General features: G+C 40.2%; 1 protein-coding gene across 10 annotated transcripts in view, besides 1 other annotated feature; it reads right to left on the bottom strand.

Moving 5' to 3' along the window:
- The window catches only part of TRIO (trio Rho guanine nucleotide exchange factor), a 366,863-nt gene that overhangs the window by 222,534 nt on the left and 118,492 nt on the right, over window positions 1–25,837 (bottom strand). For all 10 annotated transcript variants that reach the window (NR_134469.2, XM_047417679.1, NM_007118.4 and 7 more), the window contains 3 exons: window positions 16,772–16,846; window positions 7,235–7,349; window positions 608–800 (listed from right to left, as the gene is read on the bottom strand). Coding sequence is in view for 9 of the 10 variants with exons in the window: in XM_047417679.1 (XP_047273635.1) it covers window positions 608–800; window positions 7,235–7,349; window positions 16,772–16,846 (383 nt within the window). In the remaining variant the exon portion in view is untranslated. The remainder of the gene's footprint in view (window positions 1–607; window positions 801–7,234; window positions 7,350–16,771; window positions 16,847–25,837) is intronic.
- Window positions 5,457–5,751: a silencer, noted in NCBI's record as "tiled region #5150; HepG2 Repressive non-DNase unmatched - State 15:Elon". NCBI's record gives its function as "represses a minimal TATA promoter and a strong SV40 promoter by Sharpr-MPRA in HepG2 cells {active_cell/tissue: HepG2}" and the evidence as "EXISTENCE:reporter gene assay evidence [ECO:0000049][PMID:27701403]".

The following is a 25,837-nucleotide window of genomic DNA, read 5'->3' as shown; positions in this document are numbered from 1 at the left end:
GGAGAGGAGGTTACAGTGGGAAGCAAAATAATTAGTGGGCTGAGGGTTTTGTCTTGTTTTTACCACTGAAAGACGGCAATCTTCCATGCCTAACTGAATTCAGGACTCTGCACAGTTTTTAACACACTATCTCCATTTTCAGAAATCAGAGGCCTAATACATGCATTCTTTCCATTATCCATGACAGGATGAAACTTAGGGACTCTGAAGTTGGGCATTTCTCCCTAACATTCCCTCATCTCCAGGGCTGAGGCAAGGAGAATGAATCTGTAACTGTGCAAAGCCACAGTGCTGCCTGGTAAAGCTGTTTGTCAAGTGAAATATAAGGCAGCCAGCAAGCTTCTCTGCCAAGGCCTCACAACTCAACAGCCCATCACCCAACCCAAGGGAACTGAAACCTAAGCCCATGTGGGTAAAACAATCCACTCGGATGATGAACGCAGCTCTGTTATTTCATGCAGTAACTAATTTTACGTATCACATGTTCGTAAGATATGCAGCTCCTGTTTAATATGTGGTTTAAAAAAAAAATCTCTCATTAGCCTCAATAGCTTTTAGTAAACCACACCAACTTGTTTAGTGGGTCTAGCCACACGGGGGAAGTTACCTCAAATTCAAATTTAGAACTGCCAAAATTAGTCCTCTGTTTCTGCCAGAAGTTGTCTGGCTTGATGATCAGGGCCACATGGATGCAGCAGGGGAAGGACTCCTGCAGGATCTTCAGAAGGGGCTTGATGGAGTCCCACTTGGACCCACGCATGTCCACGATCACCGTGAAGCCACGCTTGCAGACCTCCTCGCTGCAGAGAAAGAAAACATGGCTGAAGACGGGTTACATCTCTTGCCACTCTGCCTGGTCAGAGTCCCACTGGGTGCCACAGACCCAGCTTCCCTCCCCTGCTGGACACGTGCGGAGGCAGGGGAAGGAGCACACTGTGCTCAGCTCCTTCTCGTCCCTCCCTTGTACCATAAAGGAAGAGACCCAGGCTATACACGCTTCATGTTCAACCTGCAAAACCTGTTAAGATTTCAATTTTGTATTAATGGTTTTGCATCCCGTCTTCTTTTCAGGAAAACAACGGTCACCATGCCCATTTCTCCTGACTTTGGTGCATTAATTGATTACATGAACTCCTCCAGTCACTCCTGCGAGCAAAGGTCTCCAGGGAGCATCGGGTGAGTACAAAACCCTGACAGCCTGCAACAAAACCCAGACTGGGGACAGTCTGAGACCTGTGGACGGCAGTTACCCCAGGACTCCCAGCACCCCAGGTGCTGAAAATGACCCCCCACTAGCATGGCTGGCAATGATGAGAACTTTCTTATGTTCCATTTTATTCCCTTTACCCTATCCCTGGCCCTGAAGCTATCTCAGTGGTTTTCCATACCATCCACCCGTCCCTGGGAGTTCTTGGCACCCTTCTGGCAGGCTCTGTGGTTTTAATCTAGTTCCACAACTGTACTAAGCCTTTATGTGGTAGCAACGCTGGCTTAACACTGCTGGCCTCTGACACACGTCAAGGCAGTGCTGGGAGTCACTATGTTCTTCCTCTCCACATTATTGCACTTAAAAAAAAAAAGTGCCAGCTTCTAATTGTATTAAATCTCAACCACTGACTACATGGGAAACACATACAATGCAAATCTGCAATAAAGAATGAGCAACAAGAGTTAAGGTGTCCTTAAACACAGGTTAAAAAAATACTTAGTCGCACTTGGTTACAACTTCAGTGATAGAAGCTTCCGAATGGCCCTACAGTAAGGAACAACTGCAACCCTCACTGTTACACAGGGGTCTCTGACAGTCTGTGCAGGCTGCTGATGCCTGCACCAGACAGTAACCAGGTAACGACTGCCTACAAGGTCTTTTTTGGAAATATACCTAGGACCTTATGGTACTCAATACGCATATGTGGTTTTCCCCAAACATAAATGTACCTTAGGGTAGAAAAGACATTTGACATTTTTCTGCTTTGGATAATTATCCCCCCAAAAAACTAGTCTAAATTAAAAACCTGGAAAACCAATTGCTATCATTAAGTAATGCAAATAAAATTAATTCAAAATTAAAACCAATTTCATGCTCTTACATAGGCTCACTCCCCTAACCCTGCCCTCCTTCCCCCTCCCAACTAACTCACACTCACACACCCCATTCCCTTCTATATCTTGATTCAGACTATCAGACTAACTAGCTTCCCACGTTTTACAAATGCAAAGTACATATGACATCTACATCAGTAAGAGGGTGTATCACATCAACACCCCAAAAAAATGCCTGTATGGTTAGAGCCCAGCAGTAGGACCCAATCAGAAGGCGGCTCACAGTCAGAGGAGCACAGTGTCTAAAGCCAGGAGGAGAAAACAGATCCAGCAGCTTAGTTTATCACCCAAATGCTGAAAACTGATTAGGAACGATGTGATGAACTTCTAATAACTATCTCATAGGGATGTAAATTGAAATGATTTCAAATACTCCTCATGCCATCACTTCTCCTCCACATCCCAATTAGGTCGTGGGTTACAATCCGGGTAACATCACGGGCAGAAACATCACCTGTTTTCTGACCTCCTTCATGAAACCTAGAGGCAAATGGGACTCCCAGAAACATCTCCTAAAGTCTCCTGTCATGGAAATTAAGCATTCTAGACTTCCTTGGGCTCTAATGGGGTTTGCAATCCCTCGAGATTCCATTCCACAGAAACTCCAGGGCCCTGGAGGCACTGGGGTGAGGGCAGCCTAAGCAGGAAGAGGCAGGTGCCCGGAGGCCAAGAGCTCTGCAAAGGAAGCCTGCTGCCCAGTAAGGCATTCTACTCCAGATTCACATATTCTGCTGCCGTACACCAAAGACAGGAGATTGTAAAACGGTGGCAATATGTTTTATTTGTTTTACTAGTTGCTGTTTGGTAGACCGCACTGTAACCATCAGTCTTCACCATATCAAGATAAATTCCCTTGAAGCCTGTCTTTCTCCTAACATGGCCTTACACAGTATGCACACGAACTACAAAGCCCCTCTACTTGAAAGAAGCTTAAAAGGAATCCTGAATGACTCCAGGCTTAACAACAGGAATAAGCGGGAGAACAACAAAACCAAAAGCTACGCTGAGCTTGCACAGTTTACAGAAGGATTAACTATTCGCCTTCCTCTGTGATCAAACTGCTCCCACCCAGCGGCTTCCTAAGTAATGAAAATGGCAAATGGACTGGGCTGGGAGTGCACAGCATTTCAATCCATCTATTTTTATCAAGTTAAAAGCCAGTCATCATTAAGACAGCAGTGACTTGTAAACATCCCCAAACCTGGGTCCTATTTATGAGCACCTAATAAACAGCTGCCTACTGGAGAAGGGCCCCCAAGCCCTTCCACCACCTAAGAGACACTGTTCTTTGGGAAATGTGACTTATTAACCAGTTATTTTAGCATTTTTACCAAAGAGCCTCATGTTTATCTGTGAGATAAAGAAAGTTCACATAAAAATAAGGTCCCCTTTCAACACAGGTCCCTAAAAAAGAGAAACTCTACTTGTTTCGTTCCTAGAGGAAGAAAGTATCTTCTTATGTGAGTATTTATGAATGAATCAATTAAAAATCTTCGTATCATTTCATTAGTGGACAACAAGGAGTAAGAGTGGTTTATCTGTTAATATTTAGCAACCAAAAATCATTCTAAAGAAGGCAGAATGTTCTAGAACATAATTAGTATTAAATACAGTTCAAGTAATAAAAGCAACAGCCACCGAGAGACATTCTAAGATTAATGTCACTGTGCAGGACTTGCAATGACAGCAGCAAGAACTGCTGCTGCTTCTTATTTCTCCTACACACGTTTAGTGGAAAGTTTCATTGCAAATGAATCTTATGAACTCACCTTGTTACTACAATTGTTTGTTTGTTTGTTTGTTTAAAAAAAAAAGGGCAGGGAGGGGCGACCCCAGCAATAATACTCAAATCACTCACAGCTGCTCAGGTCACGTTCCTGTTGAACTGTGCCGGACCCAGACAATCTAGAAAGCATGCAGAAGAAAACAATGTGATCTGCCTCTAGAAATCATGTCAAAAGGAAAGTAATTGAAGGAAAATAGAAGGGTGAATATGAAATCAGAAAATTATTGCACTATATCTCAGCAAGCTACTGCATGTCAAGCACCATGCAAGATTACAGGAATAATCTTACTCGATACTCACAATGATCCCAAAATGTACAGGTCATTATCACATTTTCAGATCAGGAAAGCAATGAAAGTGAAGTCATGTGTCCCAGGTCACAGTCAGTCTGATTCTGAGGCCCATGTTCTCCCTTCACATATGACACCAGCCCTGTGACTGTCTAACTGAGGAATGGCCGAAGGGCTGCCTTCAAATCTGGGAAGCACGAGGAAGCACTGGACACAGCAAAAGGTCTCACAGGCCCCAAGACATACACACAAATGTACAGCTGGGTAGAAACGCCTTGTGTTCATACCACTCTACTACAACAAACCATCAGACTTACAAACTACACATAAGCAAAATCACAAGTCCAAAGAAATTCACACACCAGTAATTTGCTGATGATTTTTACAGATTGGTGAAATCTGTATCACATAATTTGTTTGGTTAAAACCAAACAGCGCTCCTGCTGCTATACACTCACTAGGGGTAGCACCTGCAGGACCCTGGGGGAGAGGGCCCAGAGAGGACTCACTTTGTGGCCACTTCTTTCAATTTGGACTACTCTGAAATCTTTCTCCATTATCACTCGGCAAATGCGTCATTTACATGTTAATCCACCTCTCTTATTTGCTCATTAATCGAGGACAAGCAAAATGGCATTTCTTGTCACTTGGGACTGCAGTTAATGCAAACGCAAACCTAGGTACTGACATGAAGAGACTGTTCAGTGGCCGGAGGGTCATCCTACACACTCAAGTATTTTTGAATGACATGATGTGATCTTTGGGATTTGTTATAAAATACACCAGGTGAATAATTAGAGAAAAACAAGATTGGCAAAATCTGATAAACGCTGAAGCTGGGTGAAGGGTATATGTGTGTTCATGATATTATTCTCTCCACTTTTGTGTATTCTCACAATTTCCCACAAAAAAAAGGTTTTTTTTTTAAAGTGGGTCATCCAGATTATCCAAAATGTGCTTGAACCAATTTCTATATCAATTAAATGAATAATTTTTAATATTTACTATTAACATAGGTTTCAAGACCAAAAAGCAAGTTGTCAAAGTTACCACTATATAGTATTCAAATTCACAAGAGTGAATATCAAATTCAACTTTAGTTCTTATTAAACTATATGACAAGTATCATTTTGATTGGCAGTTATTTTTTTTTTAACCCTGCCCTTTGTATTTCTTTTTCCATCATTATCACAGACTTGGCACATAGTCAAAGCTTAGTAAGTAGTAGTTTACACTCTATTTTTATTTATAAATGATAGTGAGTATAAATAACTTCTAAACTACTTTCCAACTCTAAGATTTCAACAGGTCAGCTGCCTAAGAAATACCAGAAGAAGAAAGGGAAAACTTACTCCAGATAAGTAGGGCTCACTTAGTCACTGATGCCACACAGTGATAGTTTTCTCATAAAGGATACTCTGACAGAAAACCCAAGAACCTCCCCAGCAAGTCAAACTATCAAGACCAAAAGCTGATTGCCATCAGCCACAGCCAGCCCTGTTAGGGAGGGGCATGGCTGCCTTGTCCCGCTTGTGTCAACCTACACAGGTTGAGTGCTGTGAACCACGTGCTGTGGTAGATCTATTACCTTTACCACAACCCCTGAAACCCATTATGCTGTTACCATCTTACATCATTCTCTTGTAACATGTTCCTTAAGGTTACTATCTAGCCAGCCCATATTATGGCCGAGTTTTCTCTCACACATCCTCATTTAGTCTCTTAGGAAACACCTCCTCTCACTCTACCATGGCTGCCACTGATGCCCTTCAGTATGTGCCTTTCTGGAATAAAAGAGACACCTGAGGACTCACCCTTTCCTCATAGATAGGCACCCCTCCAACCTGCAACACACACCAAATCTCCTATTCCAGGCATGACTGTATCCTTAGATTATATCAGCATGGTATTATGTTTTCCAGAATATAACTGCAACAATTAAATGGAGATATTAATTGGTGTGATCTGGCTCTGTGTCCCCACCCAAATCTCATGTTGAACTGTAACCCCCAATGTTGGAGGTAGGCCTGGTGGGTGGTAATTGGATCACGGGGCGGGGGGGGGGGGTTCTAACGGCTTAGCACCATCTCCCTAGTGCTGTCCCCTGATGGAGTTCTCATGAGATCTGGTTGTTTAAAAGTGTGTGGCACCTGACCCCCTACCTCCACCCTCTTCCTCCTGCTCCAACCATGTGAGGATGTGCCTGCTTCCCCCTTGCCTTCTGCCATGATCATAAGTTTCCTGAGGGCTCCCTAGCCATTAAATCAATTAAACCTCTTTTCTTTATAAATTACCCAGTCCCAAACGTTTCTTAATAGAAGTGTGAGAAAGAACTAATACATTAATATAGGGAGGAAATTTCCTCCACCAGTTGTCAGCTAGATCTACAAATTAAACTCGAGTAATACATTTCCAGAGCAGAAACAGATTCTAAATTCCTCAAGTATACACACAGGCCAGCTCCTAGTAACTCATGACTCCCCACTTGCGGACTCTCCAGAAAACACAACATTGCTTGCTCTTGGTGTTCTTTGGCATCTATGCTAAAAATTCCCATTACCAATGGAGTCTCAATTTTGATAGAGATTCCCAAATCTACGCCCAATATATAGCTAATAAGGATTTTTAATGCCCCACAAACTTCGTGCTACATATCAACAGACTATTTTTAAAGAACTAACGTTTGCCAAGTAGGCAGAAATGCATTGTCAAAAGCAGCACCCAATTCTGATCACCCAGGCCTCTGTGTCACGGTATTAGAATCATCAACAATGGCTTTCTAACTCAGGCGCCACATCCTGAAATCCCAGCTGAGTATCCCAGATCCACTGTCAACACACAAAGCTCTTACCTACCTTCATGTCCCTGCTCCCCAAAGGGCTTTACACTAGACAATAATGGTCACAAAATGGTAATAAGGTGAAAGATAATGACTTTCATTTTATACTACTTTGCCTGGAATGCAGGCTACAATTTAGCTGATTTCTAACGAGTATAGCGCCACATCTCTTGTAAATGTGACATCAGTGACAAGCACAAGCCACACAGAACTTACCTGGGAATACAGGCTAGATAGGAAATGAGTCTCCTGAGATCCTCCTGTCGTATTCTGTCATGATTGCTGCGGGCCGGAAACGTTAAAATGGGACCTCCACGTTTATCTCTCCCACCTAAAAAACAAACATTAGGAATACACTTAGACACAAGATAAGACAGAAATCCTATGTTATCATCCATTCACTCTGTCAAAATTATTCCTAAAGCAACTACACAAATTTGCACAGGGCAGAAGTCCTTGTTTCAGCTGAGGCACAGTGAGGACATGTCATCCCTTCAGGGGATCTGGGAGAAAATCTCTGAGCTCTGCAGGCCACATGGAAGGTACTACATATGGCCTTGTCTTTTTCTTCCAATGTTTTGGGAAAAACTCCTTTCTTCAGTTTTTATGTTTTGGACAGAAAAAAAAGTTGTCACGTCCATGTGTTTCACTCACCTCAGACAACCACCTCCCTCACAGCTGCTCTCTAGGCCAGTCTCCCCCACATTTTTCCCCATTGCCCTGCATTCAAAGTTCTTTCTTTCCTATCAACAAGATGGGTCTAAGTCTTGAAAGGAAAGCAAAAGGAACATTCTCCAAGCTATGCTGATGACTTTATAATCTGCGACGGATGGCACCTGACCCTCACTGGTCCAGCTTTGCCAGTCTCTCACACAGAACCACACACATGCATGTGAGAGAACCACATGAGAATTTTAAAGCTAATTAGCTTAAGGATTTTAGAAAATTTCTATCACACACTAAGAGTACAAATCTCAGAGTATGTGACTTTGACAGACAGGCAGGCAGAACGATTTCTTGTTAACATATACAATCCTAATGAAGTCAGCTTGGTATCACTAAACGCTTATGGTAAAATTGTCACATTTATTTTATTACTTCCATCGGGGTTGTCAGGAAAATAGAGGAAGAAAATTTAGCCTTCTCAAGTGGATCCTTCATTTAGTTTTAGAACTCTAATGATCTCTCTTCGGGAGACCTCAAAATTCAAGTCACAATACAAAACTCTTCATTATTTTCTGTGCACCAAAAATCATCATCTAAAATTAGAAAGAAAGCAAACAAATAAAAAAAAACCCAGAAGATTCTTTCCTTTTAGAACAGCCAAAAAGCATACAGCAGAAGATGATGGTATTTTAAAAACATATTTTACCAATATGGTTTTCATAACTTCATAGGAATTATGTACTCATTCTAAATAATAATGAAACTTCATTTTGATTGGGAATACTTAAAGCAATCCACATGTACTGTTCAGTCATGTAATCTAGAAAAGCCTTAAATTATTTCTAAATCCAATAATTTAGGTATTATATGGGAGCAACAATCATAGGTAACAACAGATCCAGGTAGGGTATCACGTGCTCTACATACACTTTCTGATGTGATTTTACAATGACTCTGTTGAGAGGTTTTATCATTCCAGTCTTATAAAGATACTGAGGCTCCAAAAGCTTAAATAAAGATGAAGGAACTATGCAACACTGTCATCGCTAGGTCTTCGCCCAGACAAAAGAAAATTGCATGATCTTTCGAACTACTGGCTTTACTTCTTTTTTAGTAGTAAAAATGTCACAGAGATAACTAAATAACGGGTTCCTGGTCCTTAGAGGGGGCTAACATTTATGAATGAAAAGTACTATTAAACATGAGAAGCAGTACTGCTCATTATCAACTGATCTTCTGAAACATCTGATATGATTTTTAGGGTAACATCAATGGCTCTAATTTTTTGGAATACCTCTCATCCCCAAGATAAGACAGATTAACAATTTCAATATTTTTCGTTTCCCAATAGCTTTCATGCTTTTCAAAAGAGTCAATCTCCTTGACTGAAATTATCATAGATCAACACATATTACAGAAACTTGAATTATTAAAAATACAGTACCTATTATTTAAATTAAAACATTCCCCTCACTTTGGGTAAAGAGAAAGCCAGCATCTAACATTTTTTCTCGACCACAGTTCTGAATTTTTAAAATGTGTTTGAAATGCAGCATGATGTTTGATTCCATAGGGACCCACATGACACTCTCCTCCCTCCTGGGTCACCGTAGCTCACAAGTCAAGCAAGGCATGCTCCACCACGGGTGTGAGAAGCAGAATCCAAAATCTGCCAATCTAAGAAAGTTGCATGGAAGTCAGTAGTTTGCACAATGCGCACGGCCATTCTGATCACCCCAGACCTGAGAACCAAAGGCAGCTCTGTGCAGAAGTTTTGACAGCCCCTACTACACTTTTCCAACTTTCAACTACAAAGATTTCTCCCAGGCTGGTAGCACTAGTGAGCAGTATCCTAAGACTTGCTACCAAGTTCATCTGCTTAGGCGCTGAGTCATGTCCTAAGAAAAGCTTATAGACACCTGAATCTGAATTTTAAGATAGAGGAAAAATTTTCACTTTTCCTTTTCCTAGAAAAGAACTTCAGAAAATTCACTGGGATATTTTTACAATTTTATCAAAAATCATTTGTGAAGTAAGAATCTTTTCACATGCTAATCTCCCTGCTAAGGGTGCACCTTCCAATAGATGGCATAACGCAGTTAATGATCACTTTCTGCTGACTCCTCCTCAGGGAGGTATGAAGAAAAAATCTTAGAAAGGATGAAGTATAGTTCAGAGGAACATGGTCGCTAAACCTCAAGGAGCTTAAAATCAACTACACAGGTGTCTGTTTAATTCTATTCCCCAAGATTTAGGTTGGTTTCCAACATCACAGGAAGTACCCAAATGAAAATAGCATCTGAGTATAACGCAGAAAAGTCACAAATGCAAAGTTCTGTTCCTGTTCCGAAACTAGTAAAAATAACAGCACTGCAGTTCATAAAAACTTCACCTATTAGATACACTCATGTGTGTGTGTTATCAACCGTAAGCCACATGGTGAGGCAGGCGGGACAGATGTCAGCCTCATTTTATAGATAGGAAATCAATGCCTTAGTTTCTACAATGAAATGAAAAAGACAGGAAATGCTGCCAGCATCACAGGATGTCTATGTATGGAAGCTTTTCATGTCTGTAACCAAACAACAGCTCATTGATTATCTGCTTATCCAAATGCTGCCTTAGTCAAAAAGCAAAAAACAAAAACAAAAACAAACCAGTTTTTGTTTATAATGATGGTGTTTTACTTTCAGTTCACATAAACCTGCATCCTCTCCTATAACCAATCTTATTTCTCTAAGGCACTTCTTACCTTCTAGGAAATGGTACAATTTACATATTCTTTTTGTCTATCTGTCTCCTCCACTAGAACATAAGCTCCATGAGGGCAAACATCTTTGTTTCATTCGCTGATTTAAGAATACACAATGCTCTCCATGCCCAGTGAGACTGGCATTTGCTGAATGGATTATTTTTCCATATTCCACACAACATTAACTAAAAATACCTCCTATCAGGTATCAGTTAGCAGCAATGCCTGATGGATATCCTGTGGATGCTAAGGGAACTGAGGTTTATTTTAATAATAGAAAGAAGGCTGAAAGGGTCCTACACTATAGCTATACATGTCTGTGTGACACTTATTTCCTTAAACCCTGAGACCTCATTTCCCTCTTCTTAAAACTCCAGGAGACTTGGTCTCTTGAGCAATGTGGCCCAGGATGACCACAGAAACAGCTAGATTCACAATCACCTCTTTCTCTTTAAATGAATTAGAAGCTCACCTTTCACTTATTTAGAAAGAACTTGCAAGAAAGCCACGCTTGCTTTGAGGAGTAAAATGTAAATTTCAACGAACCAACTGTATCTTTCTCTCCATAGCGCTTGTTTCAATTGAAATGATTCTTCAGCCGCTGTCCAACCTCCCACTCCCAACTCCCAAGGAACAGTCTAACTCACACTGACAATAAAAAGCAGCCTTTGCCAAGGAAATCTCTGAAAGACACAGTTTGTGAAAAAGAGAAATGATGGCTAACGTCTATTAAGTGTGCCATAAAATAATACAACTCTGTTAAAAGGACGCCCACGGGGCTCCTGCTCTAACAGCAGCCAAGGCGAGCACCTCGCCAGCCCTGCACCTTCTAGGCTCACCTCTTGCTGCCTGGTCCTGAGAACCAGGAATTGGCTCATGGAGTATTTCTACTGAAGGCTGAGAAGACTCGGCAGCCTGCATGAAAAGTCCCGCCAGTTCCCGCACTCTCAGTCAGTCCCTGCCAGCTCCCACTATGCTAGGATGCTAACAAGAATATTCAAGATGAATGGAAGGTTCCCCTTCTCTTCCGGGGAAATGCAGTACTCTGCAAAACTAGACCATGAAGAACTAAGGTACCAGCAAACCTTAAGGCATCAAATCCCACATTCCTGTCAATATCCCCAACTTGATAAGAGTGAATGTTCACTGCACCCCAAAAAGCTATTCTAAAAGAAAAAAAAAAAACAAATGTCCATCAATGGGCATCTGACTGAATTAACTATATATATACACATATGTGTGTGTGTATATATATATATGTATGTATATATATGTATATATATGTATATATATAGACACACATATATATAAACATACATATAGACATATATATAAACACATATATATAAACATATATATATATATATACACACATAGAGACAGAGTTGTGTTTTACTCTGGTATATATATATTTGTGTATTACTCTGTTACACAAAACAGAGTAATACACAACTGTAAAAAGCAATGAGAACTCTATTATGTGCTGCTATATACTGATCTCCAGAATATTCTTTGAAATAAAACAAGCAAAGATAGAAAATGAGGCCTATTACATTTTTGTTTATCTCGGGGAGAAGAAGATGAAAACAGAAGGGAAAATCAATAGAATTGCTCATATTTTAAAAGCAGAAGGATTAAACCAAAAACTTAAAAAAAAAAGTTTTCCTATAGGGGAGGCACAGGGTGGAGAAAGCAAACACAAAAACTAGATTTTTTTTAACCATACCTTAACTTTTAACTATTTTTTAGTTATTACTGTGGAATTATGCTAAGTTTTACTTAAAATTGAAGCAAGTTGGGGTTTTTAAGTCTTACAAATGTAAAGCAAAATGAAACAAATGATTCCAGGTTTCAAGCTGATAGCATATCCACATGGAGAGGAACTGTTTCATGTGACTTTAAAATACAGTAGTAGGTCTGTAGATTTCTAATAGCATACATCCTCAGGACCAAGACAAGAAGAAAAATACTAAATTACATTTGGTAGTCATATACTGTGCTAATACCATTAGCATTACAAAGTAAGTAATTATGTCCACATAAGAACTAACATTTTTAGATTCATGAAACAGATATCCACAAATATATAATTGAAAAAGTAAAATGAAATATCTATAATCCTAAATTTGAACTATGAATTTTAATATAAAGTCACGATATCATTTCTCATTAAAATGCGTGTGTGTGTTTTCCCCCAGATTTGTCCACTAAAGAGACACAAAAACGACAACCCACCCGGTGGATATGCCTAGCAACCTGTATTGTTTCCTACTAAAAGGAACCAGGGCTCTTTAGAGAAATGGCTGATTCCAGACCTGAGGCAGGAATTATACAAGATGGTCCTGAAACATCTTGTCACATCAGCAAACAAAACTTAGGAGCCAATTTGAAGAGGCTCCCATTGGCCAAAGATGGGACAATTTTAACTTCATAAGAGAGAAAATGTGTAATGAATCAAAACATCATATATATTTAAAATCATGCATTTGAAATAAGTCTTTATTGGGGGAAAAAACAAACAAACAAACAATGGTCCTTTTTCAATAGCCTGAAAACTGGTTACGGACAGGAACCAATCACTTATCCTACTTCTCCTGTATGAACTCTTTCTCAGGACAATCAAGTAAGTGGTGATGGGACATCTCTCTTTACGGGATATCCAAGTTAATAAATGAAAAAGAAAGGACATAAGTAGAATATCACCATCTTGCAACTCTTAAATACTAGATCTAAGCAATAATCATCAATGAACACCATAAAAATAAGACAAGACTCTCCTAATAAAACTCCCTATGAAACTAAACAATCACACCCATTAAGTATTTTTGCCACCTTCCCTGCCAGATCAAAGCTTGGTCTAATCAAGCCTCAAGACCTAACTCCTAGTCTGCAAGAAATATGGGGGAAGTGAAACATGTTAAACCACCCAGTGATACAACCAGCAAAATCTACACTATAGGAAAATCCACAGGAAGACACCTGGATTCCTCGCTTCCTAAAACATCAGGAGGTAACACACAACCTACAGGTTAAAAGAGCCTTACCAGACATCTCAACCAGCAGCAATGCATATGAGACAAGCATAAAAATTTGAATACCTATCGGGTTTTTTGGGGGGATATGAAATAATTACCTTCAATTTTTAGGTCTGTCATTGGTATTGCAGCGGTTTTTTATAACATTTACATTTAAGAGATAAATACTAAATATTTATAAATAAAATAATATCTGGAATTTACTTCAAAATTATCCAGAGTGAACGGAAGACTAAGTGGAAATATAGATGAAACAAGTTGCTGAAGTGGGCAACGAATTCGTACAAATTCACTATACTATTTTCTTTCCTTTTGATGTTAAAATGTTCCATAATAAACAGTTAAAAAAGAATGCGTTCTTAATTCTGGTGGTTGTCGTGTGAGATTTTCTAAGGCTCAAACCCTAGTGGCATAGGAACCACACTAATAGTTGACATTATATGTAAGATGCCATTAGGCGCAAACTCCATTAAATATAAACTACAGGGCATTTTTACGAGGTTTGGTAGTCTTGTGAGGGCTGCATCCTCCATGGGCAGAAGAGGAATGCTGCGTCCTCATATGGCTGAAGGGCAAGGGTAAAGCCTCTTTATAAGGGCCTTAATCCCACACAAGGGAGGAGCCCTCATGGCCTAATTGCCTCTTAAAGGTCCCACCTCTTAATAGCATCACACTGGCAACATCTGAATTTTGGAGGTGATCCATCAAACCACAGCACCGTCCTCTGACTTCAAACACAAAGTCAGTAAGACATTTAACCTCACTGAGTTCATCCTAAATGAAGGAAGTAGTACATTCTATCTTACTTAAGTGCAATCAGCATTACTTTTTAGAAGACCTAGGCGCTAAGGATCGGAAATATTCAAGTTCAAGAAATTATCACGGGGTTTATCACTGGGTTTTTAGAGATCTTGACCTAATAAGTATCTTTTAAAATCACTCATCTTTTGGCCTACTTTTACAAAGCTCCTGCCATTTTATTTAGATTTAACTATTAAAAGCCATTCACATGGACAGCTTTTACAAAGGTATCATAATATTCCCTAATATTTTTTAAAATGGGGTCAGAGCAGAAAGTAAATTAGTGATTGCCAGTGCTGGGGGCTTGGGGGTGGATATGGGGTTCCTGGGAGGTGATGAAAAGGTTCTGGAATTAGTGGTAACAGTTGCACAACCTGGTGATACACTAAAATCCACTGAATCACACGTTTTAAAAAGGTGGATTTTAGAGTATGTGAATTAGATTTCAATAAAAAAGAAACAAAAAAATGAGTTAGAGATAAATTTTATTTTGTAAAGTTTACTCATTCTTTGTAATTTTCAAAAAATGTAATACAACACAAGTAGTCAATTTCTACTTAATTTTATGGTTTTTTTCCCTCCTAAAGGAGATAACGATAAGCCTAAAACAAAGAGCAATGAGCTCATGCTAATCAGCTTTGCCAGTTCTGGTCATAAATTAGGAATACTGTAAAAGTGAGGTGACACCTACTAACGTCATTTTGCTAAGACTGCTGGAAGCTCTACCATCGCTAATATCTTAAACAGTTCCTACTAATCTGTGGTAAAGCAAAACTTCCCACCCCACCAAAGATATCCAACTTTATGTAACCCTGCAGAATTTAAGTATTTATTAAACATTTAAGACAAACTCTGAAAGACTGCCGATTTTGTTTCTTTGATTAAAAGGTAAACAGTTTTAGTGTTGACTGTAAACTATATAAAAATGTCAGCCGATAATATATTCTGTATTAACTGCCTAATAAAAGCATGAATACAAATAAAACCCACCAATCTTAACCTTCCACCTTTCTTCACATGTCCATCTCCACGTACTAATGAAAGAAGAAAATGGAACAAAACGTTCAGAAACACAAGAGGGGTTGGGGGAGCAGGTGCTGTTATCACAGACCCAGACTTTAAAAATAAAAAACTGATAAACACATGAACTCAGCTTTAAGCCTTCCTTACAGATACCTCTAATTTTTATAAGTAGAGTCTTTCAATTACTCTGTTTGTAAACTACAAAATCAGGGGTTCGCAAAGCTGGCATGAGTCCTTACAATGCAGTTTGTCAGTAAATGATTAGAGAAGAGCAAATAAATGCTACTTTTAAAACTCAGTGTATTGTAAGCCAGTATTTGTTTTTCACCATGTATTTCCAACAATTTAAAGCACCTTCTTTTCATGAACTCCTTACACTCTTCTGTGAACCTTCCAAATACATAATGAATTAGATTTACTCCCACAAAATCAAACCATATTAACAGGGGCCAAGAAATATTACTGAACATGAAGCAAAACAAGATTAGCAAAAACACCATAGGAAGCTGCATCTTAAATATATAGCAGTATCACATGTCCAAAGGACAGAAAAACTTATAAAAGCAGCTAGCAGTGTTATATATTAAAAATGATATGTGTTCAAGAGGATACACAGATCAGCACAGAATGCCTATTTAAGAAAGATAAAAATTCTCAAGGGAAATTCATCTAAAAGCATGTGACGACAATCTACAGATGTACTTCCTGATAGAGCAGAAAAATCTTGCAAATCTTTGTTTGGTAACAAGTGAACTGGGGTCCAAAAGGTATAATACCCAAGGGCTGTTCTGTTTATGTGGGAGGGAGGCCCCAAGAAGACAGTCCAAAACGGCCTAACGCTGACTATGTGCAGAAGAGAGGGCAGTTAGGTGCCCCCAAGCCCAAGGGACTGGCCCAGAGTCTGTCTGCGGGCGGGCCAGGGCCTCAAAGACTGGGTCTACAGGGAAACAGACTCAGCTGGTAAAATCACCAGGGCTTCATCGTCCATGACATGGGTCCTAGTTACTCCATGACCAGAGAGCCACAAAGGAGCAGATCTCAAGGAGAAGCAGGCATCCTTGCCTCCCAAAAGACAAGGCAACAGAGGCAGGTACAGAGTACGAGAAACAAAAGTGAGAAATTCAGGACCCATCTACATACCATCACATTCCCACCATCTTTGTTGAAATGATCGGATTTTTAAAATCAGTTTTTTTACTTAACTGATTGGGGCAGAACAGCTGAATTTTTGTTGAATGGCAGAAACAAATGTATTTTCATCACCAACACTAACTAACTTATCATGTGCCTCCTAACTGGAAGAAAATGCTTTGGGCACTAATTTCTCAGAAACAGTGCTACAAGAATAAAGCCATTCAAAATTCATAGAAATGCCAATGTTTTTATATGTTGTGGCAGGTGAGTTCATTTATTACGTCAGACTCTGAAATTGTGTCAGAGCAGTTGGATAGAGCAGAGTTGAAAGTTAAACTTTACCTGAAAGGTATGCAACTTTTTCCTTCAAAATTGGTAAAACATCCATAGCTTTCATTTCATCGTTTTTTCGAAACCCTGAAATACAGAAGGAGAAAATAAAATTACTGGGTTGCCAGAGTGACAGTTAATTCCTTAACCATTCTATCCAATGCCAACACAGCAGCTTTATCCACATCCATTAAATCAACTTAAGAAACATGATCATAGCACAACATTTAAATTCCATGTCTGTGATCACAAAACTGTCTTCTATTTTAATGTTTAATGATTTGCACACAGACCCAGAGGCTCATGTCCCCAAAAGGCTCGCTCTGAGTCATTTCTAGCAATAACAACTTGGTCCCAAAAGGAGACAGGATATGAAATCAGTCCAGATTATTTACCAAATCTTAATTTTTATGTAGATTAATGTACATAAATCTTTGCTGGTACAAAGAAAACAGCAACACTGCTTTATAAAAATTGCTGCTTGTGACATCCTAAAACCTCTAGGGGGAGCTCAATGCCTCATTCCATCAGACTTCAGGGTCTGGTTAAAAATACACAGTGGCAAGGCGGAGAGAGGGGATTATAAATAGCTGGGGCCTGGCTTTCTCCTTCCAGGCTTTCTGGGTCATGCCCCCTGGAGGAATGTCAATGGCTAATGTGGTCATACGGCCCAGTGCCACTCCAGCTTCAGAGGTGGCCAAGGTCCCTCTTCTCACTAAAAACCAACTCTGCCCCTGCTCCCAATATCTTAGAAGGCCCAGTGGGAATATTGTAGAAAAGGAGCATGCAATAGGCAATTTAGGCCAAAATCCATCTAAGCAAAAGGAATTCTTGCAGCCCAAAAATATCTAGCCCAGCTCACCAGGGTGAATGCCTACGTGGGAATTTGGGGTCCAAAATGTCCATACTCATCATAATAACTGGATATTTCTCTCGGCGATCTCTAACAGAGGTCATCTAGGTTCAGGGATGCCTACCAAAACTAGTAACTAACACTGTTAGCAGAACAATCTCTAGGAAAAAACAAAACACCACTTCCCCACCCCCATTTGTGTTTGTTTTTGCCAAAATAGTACAAGAAAAGCATCGCAAATGCTAGCATGGTAATACAACCACAGCAAGATGTAGACTTGGAATTAGAAGGCAAGGAAAGTACTGAAGTCAAGGAGTGAACATTTCACTTTTGGTGTCCTGAGCAGCAACTCCCGGGCAAGCCCTGCTACAGGGAACATTTATAAAAAACGACTCTCTCCAGGCACTAGAGAATGACAAAAGCTGGGAGAGACACCTGGAAAAGGAAATGACCCTGGGTACACAACCCATCATTAGGGCTGTTAGCCTGAGGGCAGGGCCCCATCTAAGCAATGTGGAGCTTTCAAAACAAAAACCAGGTGAATTCCAAGCAGCCCTGCTAAGGATTAAAGATCTACATCAAAATTTGAGTTGCTGCCCACTGCAAACACAGAGAATGTGTAGTGTGGGTCAGGCCAAATTACATGCCTGCTAAAGCAGGCAAACAAGCAGCAACAAAATCAACATCTTCGGGAGGAATATAGCAGAATTCAGTCTCTACAACATTATCATTCATAGAAACAAAGAATGAATAAATCAGCGGTGTGATCTGATTTCTTAATGTAAATCGCTCCTGTCCATAGAATACGTCCACGTGTATAATGAACCCAGTTTAATGAGATTTAACTATGACACTGACAATTACCACAGACTTCACAGCAAACACATCCGGCTGAGGACCATGAGGTCCTAGGAAGGCTGCGTGGAACTATTCAGCCAGTTATGGGTAGATTTGACCGAGCTGGGGCCTCCACAGCACCAGGCCATTTTCCTTTCCAATGCACCATGCTTTGTGCTGGCAACCCACCAAGCTTTGAAAACAGTGGCTATTTATAAAAGGCAAAACATCTGAGCCAAGAGTTCTGCAATTTCATCCTCAGGTTCCTTCAAAACTCTTGAATGGATGCAATCTAGTCAGCAATTCACTGCCAGTCACCGTAACTCACTGAATGTGTCTACAAAGACTGACTTCATCTGCCGTGGCTGCCGTGGACACAGATGGCACTGGGGCAACTGCAAGGCAAAGAGGACTAAGGCTCCCCAGCGACCCTCAAAGAGACAAGCTGACAAACACCTATAAAACAAGGCAGATTATGAAATGTTCATAGGCAGCACGAAGTGCTATGGGACCCAGGCAAATGAGGAGGGGACAGATCACATGATAGACAAATACTAGGAAGGAGTAAGCGACAGCTGTAGATCCCTATCTGTTTGAAGGGAGGATTCCCCCTTCTGTTGCTCAGATGAGAAAACGCATGCTTCCTACCATTCCCACGTCCACACCCACACGTCATGGCCAGGACACAGCAAAGCCCTCAGACAGAGAAATGTCACCACCAACTGCAGCCCTGGCTCCGACACTAGAGAGACAGAGCCCCACTTGTGAGTCACACAGCCATCACCAAGAAGAATGTCCTGATCCCAATGCTGATATCCCAATAGAGAGCTGTGTGACCTGAGTCATCATTCCAAAGCATTTTTGACAATTACTGCTAACTTTCTGAATCACACCTATTTACTGATACCCACAATGGAGTGGAAGATGGAAGTGAGGGCTGTCATATTCCAGGCCATCTCACAGGAGGAATAGCATATTGATTTGAAAGTAGGGTGCAGAAAACAGAACTCAATAAATGTCTCAATTTCCTATGTCCCACTATGAGTCATGGACTCCCTCTCATGTGACCTTTCATTTCTCAGAGCTGTAGTTATGTTAACCTATTGGTCCCTCAGTTTCCCCCCAAATTAAGGAAGACTCAGTCTTTCTAGAGGAAGAAAAGTACATGAATTAATGAGAAACTTATGTGAAAAGGTGCTTCACTTTTATTGCGATGTAGGTACATGCCCACGCATAGACCAGAATATAAATTCTAACCAGTTTAACTATATTTTTGTAGATTGTCACTGAAAAAGAGTTACTTTTATTTAAACCATCAATTAATACTTCAAAAACAGAAAATATAAAAAGGGCAAAAATATAAAACTAACCACACAAAGAAACTTGAGTTTGTCATTATTGTGGTGACTGGTCACTTAGGTATTATTTTAGATCTCATTTCCATTTAAAAAAAAAACCAATAAGCAAAGAACTCAGGAAGCATGTATAAATACTAAAACCAGATTAAATATATCATATGTAACTTTCAATAAAAAGCAGGAAGAACCCAACCATGAAAGTTCCTCAGATCAAAAAGGCAGGCTGTGTTCCATGCCCTGAAGAGCTATTTAGGAAAACAGTGTGGAACTATAAAAACGTTCTAAAAAATTAAAAATAAGTGGCTTCTCTGCTATTCCACAGATTCTAGATTACACAGCAGATAAGACTCAACTCCTAATACTTTCTTCATTCATGCATTAAAGGATCTAACTGTGGTTCTCAAACTTACTGAACAGCAGCAAATACAGGCTGCCCTCGGTGGCCGCCCCCTGGAAGCACATACTTCTCACCATCACAGAGAGGTTCAGGAACAGCAAATACCACCGCACAGAGGCCCTGATAGGATCCCAGACCTTATCTTTGTACCAAAGACCAGGCGTCAGCAACATTTCTACTTCTCAGTGCCACCAGGGGGGTTTGTCAATGCTACTTAAATAGGTGGAAGGGGGTGCCACAAAGAGAAATTTGGTAAAATTAGGATTAACAGAAAGCCTAGACAAAGAAGAGCAACTTGAGAGGAGATAACCAGAGGGTAAATGGCCCAAATTGGGGGACATTTAGTTGTACCCACTTTTTGAATTATATAATTTTTAAGTTATATAGAGCCCATATTAACTGCGCAGAAAAGACAGACTGGATTCCGTCACAGTTTGAGGCATATTTTGCTACTATCTGAAATACAGCAACCATTATGGACTCTAATGAAAAGCTAGCTTCAGGAAACAGTGAAACAGCAAGAATGGAGTCAGTCGAGGCTTATCTCTAGGTGCAGAAGATGTTTCCCAGGGGAGTCCTTAAAGGCAGGCAACAAATATGCTTCTGAACCAAGTCTACAATGACTATGTTCAGAATGTTTACACTAATATTTGTTGAATGCTACTGAGGAAAACAGGCTTAGGTTAAAAAATCAGATTTTATAGTTGTTAACTAAATATAAATATATATAGGTGGTGCTTGATGATTTTCTTTCTGGTTTCAAGCCAACACACAAAAAACTGCCTTTCCCTAAAACAAATTGGAATGTTTAGAGATTTTAACATACTCATTTTAAAATAACTACAAGTTTCAGCATACTACTTGCCAAAATTAATTCTGTTACCACCTTTTAAATTACTGTTTGGTTCGACAGCATGTCAGTGTGAGCATAAATGTTAAATCTGCACCCCCAAATCACTTCTATTCCTTAATAATAAACATTATACTGTTCATCAAATGAATAGTTGCCTCTTTTTCTCTAGATCAGCCAATTTGCCAGAGGACATGTCTGTTTTGCTCCCTGCTGTATCCTAGATACCTAAGATAGGGCCAGGCAAAGGGCATTCATCAGATGTGGGTTGGCTGGGTAGAAAGATGGATGAAGGGGGAGGCCGAGGCAGGCAGATTGCCTGAACTCAGGAGTTTGAGGCCAGCCTGGGCAGAATGGTGAAACCCCATCTCTACTAAAATACGAAAAAATATTAGCCAGGAGCAGTGGTGCACACCTGTAGTCCCAGCTACTCGGGAGGCTGAGAAAGAAGAATCACTTGGACCCAGGAGGCGAAGGGTGCAGTGAGCCGAGATCATGCCACTGCTTACCTGGACGGCAGAGCGAGACTCTGTCTCCAAAAAAAAAGAAAAGGAAAAGAAAGATGGATGGATGAATGAATGAATCAATCAATCAATGAACTCAACCAACAAATAAATATATTTCCACAGCATCTTGACCCTGAACCCCTACCCAAGAACCCCAAAATTCCTTAGTACTTTCTATTTTTGTTTTGTGAAATGTTAGGTAGTTTAGCCTTCAATCATAGTATGATTTATATTCATAAGATGGAAAATTAATCTCTCTGCCCTAACAAGGAATATTCTGCAAGTTATCATTCAACAGTGAAATATCTTTCCACTGAATCAACAGTCTGGAACTTCAACTATCTAATACCCCACTGACCAAATCAATTACTCATCTGTCATCCTGAAACCCTGCAAAGAGATGCTGCACTGAGACAAATACCTTTCTAAGCTAGTCACTGATGACCAGAATGCTCGCTCACTTGGTCACTTCTGTGGCATTAAATTTAAGACAACAATAACAAATAGTCCAGGAACAACAAGCCCCTCTCCGATTTATTTATAATAAAAAGCACCCTAGAAATATTTTCACAATGAGCAAAAGCTTTTATATAGCATATTATGTTAAAAATGGTATTTTTACATAACTGGCAGAAAGATGAATCAAATGAATCAAATTTTAAAATTTTTTAAGTAAAACATAGGTTTTATTATTTTTTTAATCCTGTATTTCTCCCAGGACACTGGCAGATACTAGTAATCTGAAATTTTACCTAATCTTCAAATTAAACTAGTCAAATGAGTTTTCCAGTAAAAACTGTTAGAAGAAACACAGTTATTCCTTGACCATTTGAGCTGTTGAACAAAATGAACTGATGCGATTCTAAACTGGCTGCGTCTCCTCCTTTAAAAGCAGCCAAGCCCACAAGACAAGCTGTGCTCCTCACCCATTCTCAGGGGTTTCATTTGCCTGTCAGCTATTCCGAGTTAGTGTTTACTAAATGGGAAAATAATCTGCGGGAAGAGATTGGGAAAAAAAAAAAAAAAAGAATCCTACATACTTAACAAAACACAGGTTGCAGCAGTAACAAAAATGTTAATAAATCAGCCAGTATTTTTAAACAACCAGAAAAAGAAGGTTAAATAGTAAACTGGAGCTTCCTATAAGTACTGGGTCTTAGTGGTAATTACCGAATTTTACTCATTAGTTACTTTGGGGGAAACTTCGCGCGCGCACGCCTGCACACAAAGAGAAGAGTGATAAATCTGCATCAGTTTGGCAGGCACCGCCCTCGCTCCGCAAGCGCACGCGCAGAGGGAGGTGACGTCACCCTCTCCGGGCCGGCCACTTCTCTGCGGAGCCCGCAGGATTATACTCTCAGCACAGGGAGCGGCCGCACGTGGCTGCCCGATGTTTGTGCTATCAAGGGTTTTAGCTGTGCACGCATCTAGAAGTGATGCATAGGAAGGAGGCATTTTAACAAGCCTAGATCCCCTAATGAACATGTTAAAGGGTGGGGGGAAGACACAAGGTTATAACCCTCACTTTTTCTAATATGTAAAAAAAAAAAATCAAAACATAATACAATGCTTATATTATTTTTTTAACATAAATATATCAAAATCCACACTTATAAAATGCATATAAAATGAATTAAGACTTATGGACATGTTCACAGACAAGACCACACAAGAATATGGACGGGTTTCATAATACAGCATTACAATTTTTACCTATAACCTTTATGGTTATAACTGTTGGACTGGCTAATTTACCCCTTCACATAATTTTAGAAGCAACAGCCTATAACAGCATACCTCAAAGAAAGAAAGTAGTTTATTTTTTATTAATTCAAGGGAGTTAAAGAAATTTCAACTTAAAATAGTTCTATTTTTTAATATAAAATACAAAAGAAAACCAAAATAATCAAAAAGACCACAACAAAAAAAAGTTTAAACAAATATATATATTTTTAATGTAAATGAAGCAATCTGTAGAACTCTTAAGGTTTGATGTTTTAATTATGTATTAATTGTGCAATGGAAGTTAATTTAAAAGCATCACAGACCAATGGAAGGGAATATTTTGATAGTCAAGAAGTAGTAGTATTATAAAGGGACTCTATTTCTTACAGTCTCATAAGTCAAAAAAGAAACCATGTGCCCAGGTGTGCCGTTCATGTTTGGATCCCCAGGGACAAGCACAGAGCTATGCACAGAGAAAACTGATCCTGTTTGCCTAATGCCAGAATAAAGAACACATTCGTCTACCTGTCTGTGCATGTCCCTGTAAAGCCTGTCAGGGATGCCTCTGAGGCTGTATTCTGGAACTGGAGTTACCCCACCCTTATCTACATATATACATCCCCTTACCCATACACACACACATACATGCACATATAGGGTTCTGTGATGCTGTCCTGCCCCAAAGACTTGCTTTACCGGAGTGTCTCAGGAAAGTCATTTAGAAATTTAGTGTGTATCAAATGAACCAGAGGGACAAAACTACTACAATTTGATCATCATATCAAGTGGTTTGATACACATCAGATCAAGAAGGTTGAGTGCTAAAAGAAACCCTATTCAATCATTGTATCAATCTGCTCACGAATTTTAACACTCTTACTCTTCTTCAGACAAAGAAAAAGAAAAAACTCAATTATCCCATGTGTTTTAATGCAAAAGAAAATCATATTCTGTAAAAGGCTTCAGAAAATAAAGCTATAATTCTACTCCTTTTCCTCTATTGTCTTTTTGATTACTACATAAGGAACTGGGGCCAGAGGGGCTCTCAACCACAGAGAAGTGATATAAACTAATTATCTGAAAACCTCTCTCAGTGCACATGGACTAGCTCTGCATGGAGTTGGGGGTGCTCATATACAAAGTGTAATCTAGAGCCTTTGTTGACCTTAGCCTGTTTGGGAAAGAAAGCAACACATATGAGTTGTCAGTTCTGTGGTACAGATATTTGGTATGGAAAAATCAGGGCCAGAGCGATGAGAATAGGAGAAGATGTCCTATCAAATAAAAGATCTGTGCGAAGTGTGGAAGAAGTAGTCCAAAACCGGGCACACTGGAAAACAGAGAGCACTCCAGCCAGAGCAAGCAGCATCAATAGATGTAGACAAACAAAAACACAAAACATTCATGGAAGAGAAGAAAGCAGGGGTGGGGTGGGCTATTATAGTGGGTTTTGACTGATAGGTAGGAAACTGTCCATCACTGGAACAAAGAAGTGCCATGAAGAAGAGGCACCCACATGCCTATAGGATAGCCATGCCCCCCTGAACATCCAACCCTGCCTCATGCTCATGCCCACAAACCTGCTCCCCACAGTGTAGGTCCCAGAACAGTACCTGCCTCATAAACCATCGACCTCGTGGCCAAACCAGGAACCAGGCTTCTCCCTGCCCTCCATCCTCTCTCCCATCCCCTACCTCCATGAAACAAGGAGTTGTAGGGACTCCACAGTCCCATGAAGCACCCCTGTCTCTGCCAGCATTGCCCTCATGTGCTATTCCAGCGATCTCCTAATAGATGTTCTTAATTCCCTCGAATGCATTCTGCCACTCTCCCTAGCATGTTTCTCAAACAAATATCTCATCATTTTACTCCCCTAAAATTCTTCAATGGTTTCTTGGTGCCCGCAACTACAGTCCCTCATGATCTGATGTATGCTGCCTCCACAACCTCATTGGTTCATCATTACCATCTCCCCAGGCTCACTCCAGGAACTGCAATTACCTGCAGGGAAGCCACACCTCCCCCTCACCACTGTACCTCCATACACATGCCTTCCCCTCCCCGCCCCCAACACACACCTCTTCTTCACCTGCCCCCAGTCTGGAGTCCCCACTGCTCAACTAGACACCGCCAAGATGCACTCCCACAACACCCCAAATCCTTATCGCACTGCAGGGGAAATATCAAAAGACTTCTCGGTGTTCCTATTAGCAGCTGGGCTCCTAAAGGAAAGGGGCTATGCTGAGTCCCACTGCATGGCAGTCTCACTGAGCAGACTGCCATGGCGCAGAGCATGAACTTAACACCCAGCTAGTTAAACCTCAAGATAGCAAACACGTGGTACTCTACAATTCGCAGTTCTGGGCAGAGTATCCATCTAGGCACAGAGCAATAGCGACAGCTCCAACGCATGCAACTGGCTATAAAAACTCCTTTGAAAAGCTAAAGTGACTCCATTCATTCTCTGTCTAGTATATTTGGTGACTGATTAGTACATAAAATCACATTTACATATAATCAATCTATATTTTAAAGGAGAAAAGGGTTTTTAC

This window comes from Homo sapiens, chromosome 5 (assembly GCF_000001405.40).
Source record: "Homo sapiens chromosome 5, GRCh38.p14 Primary Assembly".
Lineage (NCBI taxonomy): Eukaryota > Metazoa > Chordata > Mammalia > Primates > Hominidae > Homo > Homo sapiens.
The sequence above is the reverse complement of the archived record's forward strand: the minus strand, read 5'-3'. Positions and strand labels throughout refer to the sequence as shown.